This window comes from Homo sapiens, chromosome 1, assembly GCF_000001405.40.
Source record: "Homo sapiens chromosome 1, GRCh38.p14 Primary Assembly".
Lineage (NCBI taxonomy): Eukaryota > Metazoa > Chordata > Mammalia > Primates > Hominidae > Homo > Homo sapiens.
The window spans coordinates 98,753,734-98,762,811 of NC_000001.11; the positions used below are offsets into that span (position 1 = coordinate 98,753,734).

The 9,078-nt window shown below is 34.7% G+C and overlaps 1 protein-coding gene across 9 annotated transcripts in view; it reads left to right on the forward strand.

The window, feature by feature from the left end:
- Positions 1-6,767, forward strand: part of SNX7 (sorting nexin 7) — a 99,182-nt gene extending 92,415 nt beyond the window's left edge. For all 9 annotated transcript variants that reach the window (NR_033716.2, XM_017001425.3, XM_017001428.2 and 6 more), the window contains one exon: positions 6,321-6,767. Coding sequence is in view for 8 of the 9 variants with exons in the window: in XM_017001425.3 (XP_016856914.1) it covers positions 6,321-6,398 (78 nt within the window). In the remaining variant the exon portion in view is untranslated. The remainder of the gene's footprint in view (positions 1-6,320) is intronic.
- The last annotated feature ends 2,311 nt before the right edge of the window (positions 6,768-9,078 follow it).

Sequence of the window (9,078 nt, forward strand, 5' to 3'; positions counted from 1 at the left end):
AAAGGAAACTGAGGGCTTTTCTCTAAATGTAAAGTGTGGTGCTGTTCCTGTCAGCCCTTTCAACCCAGTTAATAGTTTTCTGTTTTATAAACATTGTGGGTAGATTTTTTAAAGATATACTTTGGCATTTTTGTATTTCCTTCTTTTTTATACTTGACATTTGGTGAAGGAGATTTGTGAGTGGTTTATGAAACTGAGTTTTAATTTCTTTTTTTTCTTGGTATTGAAAAATCAATAAAATACTAATAACAGCTAATATTTACTGCATATCTGCATATGATGTTAATTGTAGCTTTTTGTAGATGTTCCTCGGGTTGTGGAACTTCTCCTTTATTCCTAATTTGCTGAGAAATTTTTTTTAATAAGCAATGGACATTGGAATTTGATAAATTTTTTGTCTGTTGAGATAATATTGCATTTAATATCATCATTTGATAAATACTTGAATGTTAATCCAGTCTTGCCTTCGTGGGATAAACTCCATTTGGTTATGATGCATAATTCTTTATAGAAATTACTGCCTTTGATTTACCAAAATTTTATTTAGAAGTTTTGCATCTATGTTTAGGAGGAATAATGGTCTGTAGTTTTCTTTTCTTGGAATGTCTTTGGCTCTGGTATTTTGGACAGCATCCCCATGTCTTCAATTTTCTGGAAGAGATTATATGGAATTAGTATGATTTCTTCCTTAAATGTTTGCTATAATTCTCTAGTGAAGAACTCTGGGCCTAGAAATTTGTGTATGTGTATGAAGATATTTAACTACAAATTCAAATTCATTTGGGTTATTGGTTTCTTCTGTGGTGAATTTTGGTAGTTTATGTCTTTCAAGGAATTGGTCCATTTCATCTACACTGTCAAATGTATAGGCATAAAGATCTTCATAATTTTCTTTTTTCCTTTAGTGGAATCCGAACTAACATTAACTCTCTCATTCCTGACCCTTGGCAATTTATGTCATCTCTTTTTTTATGATCAACATGGCTAAAAAGTTTAATAATTTTATTAATTTTCTCAAGGATCTAACATCAGTTTCATTGATTTTTCTTTACTGTTTTTGTTTTTTCTTTCATTGAGTCCCACTTTGCTCTTTTCTGTTTTTTGTTTTTTTTTCTTCTGCATTTAATTGTTCTTTTTTTGGTTTTCAAGGTAAAGACTAAAGGCATTGATTTGAAATCTTTCCTCTTTTCATGTGTAGGCATTTAGTGCTAAAAAATCTCTCTGTTCTACTTTAATGGCATACCAAAATTTTTGATGTGTTGTGTTTTCATATTCATTCAGTTCAAAACTCTTTCTGATTTCTCCATTGATTTGTCCTTTGACACTGGAGGCTTTTTATAATTGTCCTGTTTAGATTTCAAATATTTGGTGATTTTAAAGATATCTTTCTGGTACTGATTTATAATTTAATTCCATTATGTTCAGAGAACATACTTTATATGACTTGAATCTTTTAAAATTTATCAAGACTTATTGTATGGCCCAGAATGTGATCCATATTGGTAAATGTTTTATGGGCATGTGAAAGAAAATATGTATTCTGCTTTTGTCCTGTAGATCTCAGTTAGGCAAACTTGATTGATAGTGTGGTTCAGATCTTATATATGAGTGCTGATTTTCTGTCCACACATTCTGTCAGTTCTTGAGAGGGGTATCAAAATCAATTATAATTGTAGATTTGTCTTTCTCCTTGTATTTCTGTCAGTTTTTATGAAACTCTTTTATGTGTGTAAACATTTTAAATTATGTCCTCTAGATGGATGGCCCTTTTATCATTATGAAATGATCATCTTTATCTCTGATAATGATCTTTGCTCTGAGATCTACATTTCTAATACTAATGTAGCCATGCTAGCTTTTCTTTTGACATATGTTACAATAAAACATATATATGTATTTTTAATTAAAAAAATAAACCCAGGATCTCACTGTGTTGCCCAGGCTTATCTCAAACTCCTGGGCTCAAGTGATCCTCCCACCTCGACCACCCAAACTGCTGGGATTACAGGCATGAGCCACCATGCCTGCCCATATATATATTTTTTAATCCTTTTAATTTTAACTATATTTGTCCTTATATTTAAAATATTTATAAGAAATTTAAACAAAGTATAGGTAGGTCTTGTTTTTTTATTCAGTTGGCAATCTGCATCTTTTAATGGTGTGTTTAGCATGTAGACATTTGAGTAGGATTATTGATATATTTGAGTCTTTTATCTTGCTGTGTTTTATTTGTTCTGTCTGTACATTGTTCCTATTTTCTTCTTTTGCCTTCTTTTGAATTGATAGACAATTTTACATGATTTCATTTTACATCTCTTTGTGGTGTATTAGATGTAACTCTTTTGTATTAGGTATAACTTTTATTATTTTAGTGGTTATTTTTAGGTTACTGTATGTGTCTTAAATTTATCATAGTCTACCTTCAGGTAGTATTATACTTCATATATAAGAACCTACAAATGTGTTTTTTCATTCCCTTTCATCTGGCTTTTATGCTGTTTTTGTCATACATTTTGCCTATACATGTATTATAAGCCCTGCAAGATTTTGCTATTTTTAATTCATTAGATTTTAAATACATTTAAATAATAGGAAAAGTATGTATCATATGTACTCATGTCGTTACTATGTCATTTGTTTATAGATCCATATTTCTATCTGGTCTCTTTTTTTTCTGCCAGATGAGTTTTTTTTTTTTTTTTTTTTTTTTAATATTGGTTGTAGTGTGTTCTGCTGGTGATAAATTTTGCAGATAATGAATTAAGTGATTTTCCAGTCTGCCTGATGGGATTCTGTACTATTGTAGGCCCTATGAGAATGCTGGATACTGTTTAATCCTTCCCGATGGCTTTTTCCCCTGTCTCTGGTAGTCTTCTCACATGCATGTGCCAGTCAGTACTCTGCTTGGTGTGGGGCACCCTCCGCATATCTCCAGAGCTTTCCATGCACCACTCTCTTCTCTGATACTCTGGTCTATGAACTCTAGCTGCATTTTCTCGAACTCTTAGCTCTATCCTTTTAACTCAGTGAGTCAGCCAGGTAATGTCTCCCTTCACCATGGCCTCGAAATTCTGTTAAGGCAATAAGCTGGCATATTAGAGGGATACTAATATAGTTTAGATATTCGTCCCCACCCAAATCTCATGTTGAAATGTCATCCGCAGTGTTGGAGTTGGGGCTGGTGGAAGGTATTTGGATCATAGTGGTGGATCCCTTATGTATGTCTTGGACCATCCCTTTGGTGATAAGTGAGTGCTTGCTCTGAGTTCACAGGAGATCTGGTTGTTTAGAAGTGTGTAGCACCACCTCCACCACTCCTGCATACGCCATGCGGCATGCCTGCTACCACCTCACCTTCTGCCATGATTGTAAACTTCATGAGGCCTCCCCAGAATCTGAGAAGATGCTGGCAGCAGCTTCCTATACAGCCTGCAGAACTGTGAGGCAATTAAACCTCTTTTCTTTATAAATTACCCAGTCTCAGGTATTTCTTTATAGCAATGCAAGAACAGCCCAATACAGATGCCATAACAAAATTCCAAAGACTAGGTGGCTTAAACAACAGAAATTTGTTTCCTCACAATTCTAGAGGCTAGAAGTCTAAGATCAAGGTGTCAGCAGGCTGCTTTCTTCTAAGGCCCCTCTCCTTGGCTTGCAGATGCCCACCTTCCTGCTGTGTCCTCAGATGATTTTTCCTCCTTGCTCACATTTCTGGTTTCCTCTCTGTGGCCAGATTTCCTCTTCTTATAAGGACACCAGTCATATTGGATTAGGGCTCACCCACATGACCTTATTTTACCTTAATTACCTCTTTAAAGGCCTTATCTGCAAATATAGTCACTTTCTGAGGTACTAGAATTAGAGCTTCAGTCCATAACACTGGGGTAATCATGGAGCTTACTCTTCCCCACCCCACCCCAGGGACCACTATCCTTTGTTGCCTGATTTCCAGGGTGTTGAAAACCATTGCTTTATATATATAGTATCTACCTGATTGATTGATTGATTGATTGATTGATTGAGGCAAAAGAGCCTTTCCAGTCCCTGTTATACCCTCTGGGTCAGCAACAGAAGTCCTGAGCCTGAGTTCTTGATCACTACACTATACTTCCTCACATTGACCTTTCACAAACATGCAGAGATTTATGGGATCTACCTTTTGCTCATCTTTTAGTCTGCATTCAGTGATTACTTCCACTAGGAAACATTAGGACACTCCAATGTGACTTAGATCCTATTACTGTTACTCCCATCATGTCCTGTAACATCACAGACCCTATACTTGATTATATTTGCTTACTTAGGTTTCATGCTAAATCATAATTTCTATTAGTTTGTGGGCTGTGTGCTAGCATCATCACAGTGCCTGGCATATAGTAAGAACTCCAAAATATTTGTTGAGTGAAGAGATTTTTGTATGTCTACCCTCCATGCCCCCCAAATCATGCATAGTTTGGACAATTATAAATTACAGTCCAAAATTTGAAAAATATACTAAATGTGAAGTATTCATCTTTTATGCCTTTTCATGAGTATAGACATTTGGATACACTTAAAGATATCTAAATTCTTCTCCTGTACCGTCTAAGAGGAGGCCATTCTTACTAGTTGGCTCCTGTAGTAACTACCTGACCCTGACTCCTCTACTCCCCTCCCCTCCTCTTCCTATTTTATTTTGTTATTTCTCCATCCCTATGAGAGAGGCTATTATTATTATATATCTGAGGAGCTACAATATCATAAAGTTAGTAACTTACTGGAGGATAAAAGCAAATCCCAGAATCAATTCATTACAGTGACTGTGCTTCTTGGATTGTACTTGGCTTTCAGTACCTTCTAAAGCTATTTAAAGCAAAAAGTATCCCTTAAAGTCTTGATAAACTTGATTATTCTAATGAGGCCTACATTACCCCAAGCCTGGCCTTCAAAATATATGACAAAATAAATACCCACTATTTAATCCAGTAATTTATTGGGTAAATTTTACCCAGTATCTTTTTATTTGACAATTAGGTCTTTCAGTGTTTTACTGTTCTCATGTAATTATACGAATCTTTTAGCTTTATTATTAGCTTCCTAAGTTATTAGAGCCTATCTCAGAATTAAATCACAGTATGTAATCTTTATGAAAATCAGATTTGACATAGTATTTCCCATATTCTAAATCTTCAGTTTGAAAAAAATGTGTTTGTGCATACACACACACACACACACATAAGTATATACATACATACTTTTTGAAATGCAACACACTTATAATTTGAGAGCTTTAAACATTTGAGTTTTTACAGTGTTTGAGAAATCTCTAGTCTGTTATTAGTGCTGGTTGTCCGATATAGACACTTTAAAGCTGTGAAAGCATTAGAGGCAGAAGAAGTGACATGGAGGTAGTTGAGCCAGGTGGACCAGTGTTAATCAGTCCAGCTTTGGAGTGTTTATGTAGAAACATACATGTCTATGGCAGTCTATCCACATTTGAAAAAAAAAAACATAATTTCTTTCCAAATTCATTATAGCTCAGGCTGAATATATATTAGAGTAGTTATGATTTACAAGAATCCTAAATGTGTACAGACTATTAAAATTATGCTGTAGATAAACTTCATACAGATACTTGAGACTAGTCTATTAGGAGGATCATCCCCAGGCAAAATCAAATAGGCCACATTTATGTTTATGTGTTCCCAGCGCCTTCAGACCCTTACAATCCTGTTTCATTTCCTGTGGCACATTAATAACTAAGTCTTTCCACCCAGTCCCAACAGACCATCATAACAGTTGCTAACTTTTGGAGCATTCACTTTATGCTAGGCATTCTGCATAGAGACTTATACAGATTATATACATTTAATTCTCACAGTTGTGCTAGTGGTAAGTACTATTATTAACCTAAGTTATAGCTGAAGAAACTCCAATAAAGATTAATCAACTTTCTCAAACTCACAATTGACGTAATGGGATTCAAATCGAACTGAAGTATGTTTGTATCATCACTCCTCCTCAGCTCCAGCTGGGTCCATCTTTGCCTCTATAACGTGAAGCTCTTATTTTTCTCTTAATATGGGGTAATAGTAGATTATTTCAGCAAACTAATCCTTGCTAATCTTTTTAACCTTTAATATGTTTTCCCCTTACTTAGCAGTAGCATCCCTCATTAAGAATTAAAATATGTAGAAAATGACAAGGATTCTGACAAGCTGATGGGAGAGAAGAATAGAGCAGATTGCAGTAGGAACAGATGTGTTAGAATTTATTAATCCTTTAACACTGAAAGTAAACTATTGTTGATTGCCTCATGGTGTGTTTCCATTATTCAGTGCCTTGCTACGTGGGAGTCATTCCTTACATCACAGACCAACCTTCACTTGGAAGAAGCCTCTGAAGATAAACCTTAATCCCATTGAGGACTTCTGTTTGATCTTTGGGAGACAGCATTTATTAACCAAAGTTATTCTTTCTGGATCTGCCGTGTCCTTATAAAGTGGATGAAAAATGTTTTGTACCCATCTGGAAAACCAACAACTTGAAATCTCAGGTATTCCAGGTCACTGACATGAATTTGAAGATATATCTATCTGTATGGATATATATCTATATGTATATAGATATATAAATACAGAGAGATATCTGGCTTGGTTTTAATTATGTTCTTAAATTTGTGTGCCAATAATTGCATATAGATTTTTTTTCTTAAATATTTGACTGTGGAACATGCCATTTTAAATATGTTGTAAGGACTGTTTTAATAAAAAGTTTAGTATGAAGTGGTTGGCTGCAGTGTATTCTTTTCCTCCTAGTAGCTCAAGCCTCTTAAACATTCTAAAATGAGTTCAGCATGTGTTAACAAGTATACTGCGTATTCATTTTTATTTCATTATCATTTCCTCTGAAATACTATTCAGTTTAATATTAGGAACTCAAAGTAATATCTAAAAATTGACATTATTAAAATTGATAACTGTTCAAAAATTAATTTGTTAAAAGTTAAGTAATTGTTTTCCACAATTAAAAAGTTTCCAAGATTTAAATTGTTATTTGAGTTATTAGTTAGAAATCCTTATATAATTATATTCCCACTAGTAGATATATTTGGGCTTTGTAAAATTTGTGCATATTCTTTACAATTCATACCTAGCTTTTATTTGTTAAGATATACAGTGTTTATCCAGTTTATTTTCCCATTCATTTATTGTCTACTCCATGCAAGGCACAGTTGTAGGTGCTTATGTTCTGTAGTGATGAAAAAGATACTTTCAGAGCTTACATTCTAGTAATACTGATCATACAGATTTTTTCTATTAATTTTATAACCATATAAAAAAGCTAAATGTGTTGATTATTTAATTTTTGCTGATTTTCAGAAATAGATATTTCTCAGGACTGAAATTTGAGGAGTTTGGTCATGCTTGCTGTCTTACACATGTGACTTCATATTTTGGGTATTATCAAGTGTCACAAAACTAGACATTTAAATTGTTTTAACTGAGACACGAGATTCACTTATACACACACAGCTATAAATATAAAATGAAACACTTTTCTTAAATATTGGCAAATATAATTTTTAAACCATTTGTAATAAAAAAATCTTCCTCCATTTTTTGACCTTTGGCTGCTGACAGCTTATAAGTCCCACGCCTCTGTCTTCCTCTTCTGCCCCACATCTTCTGGGCAAGCTGCTTGGAGAGCCCAAGTGCTCCCTCCTTTGGCACTGACTGGAATAAAGTTCAAACTGTGCAAGCCCCTCCCGACAGATGGGAATCTACCTGCTAACCACCATAAAAACCTTAGCTGGTCTGCTTTTCCAAATGTCTCAAACCATTTTTGAATCAGTCCAAGAGGCCAGCCTTGCTCTCCCCAGAAAGCCTCATGATGTAAGCGATAAACCTTGTCATATCCTCTTGGTGTGTTTGTGGCATCATGAGTCTTGACATCCAAAACAAATTTTAGGTGGGAGTCCTTCCTGTTTATCAAAATTGCCCCAACAGTATTGTTTTGCAAGCTCTTTAAGCCTTCTGAACTTCAGTTTCCCCATCTGGAGGTAATGGAGATAATAATCTCTAACCCACAGGTTGTTAAATGATACAGTAAACTTAGAAAACCTGGCAGAGAAATGATAGTTAATCAGATCATTAAATGATTCAATGGGATAAATGAAATGTGCTTTGTTTTTAAGTGCAATACCTTTTCCCCCACTCTTTAGTGCACTGTATGCCTTTCCTCATCCCTCTCCTCCTTTTCCATCCACGTGACTGCTATCCCAAATACATACCATGCATAGCCGCACAGGTAACCCATGTTAACTAGCATGTACCCTTACACTTTTCCATTCTCATAATATACTGTACATACTTATACACACATAGCTTTTATCTTTGATCTAAAAATGACATCATACTATACATGCTATTTTGCTTCTTTCCTCAACAATATCTTCTGGAAAGCCTTCAAAGTCAAAAATAGCTCTACTCTTTACATGACTGCACAGTATATATGACTGCACAGTATATCATGCAGTAAATGAATCTACAGCAATTTATGCAGCCATTTTCTTGTTTATAATTATTTACTTCGCTTTCACTTTTTCATCACTGCAAAAAGAATCCCCATCCCTTTTAACTGTCACTGTCTTAGTCCTCAACCCCCATCTCCCAAGGCCTAAGGAATCTTCTTTCTGTCTCTATAGATTTGCCTATTCTGGATATTTCATATTAATATAATCATATGTGATCTTTTGTGACTGGCTTCCTTCACTTAGGTTCATCAATGTTGTAGTATTTGTCAATACTTCGTTATTTTTATGGCTGAAAATGCTCCATTATGTGGTTATACCACATTTTGTTCATCTATTATGTTTATCCTTTCACTGATGGACATTTAGGTTGTTTCCAACTTTGGCTATTATGAATAATGCTGCTATGAATATTGATATACAGGATTTTGGGGGGACATATGTTTTCACTTTTCTCTGGCCTATACCTGAAAGTGGGATTGCTGGGTTATATTATAACTCTGTTTAGCCATTTGAGGAGCTGCCAGATTGTTTTCCAAAGTGGCTGCACCATTTTACATTCC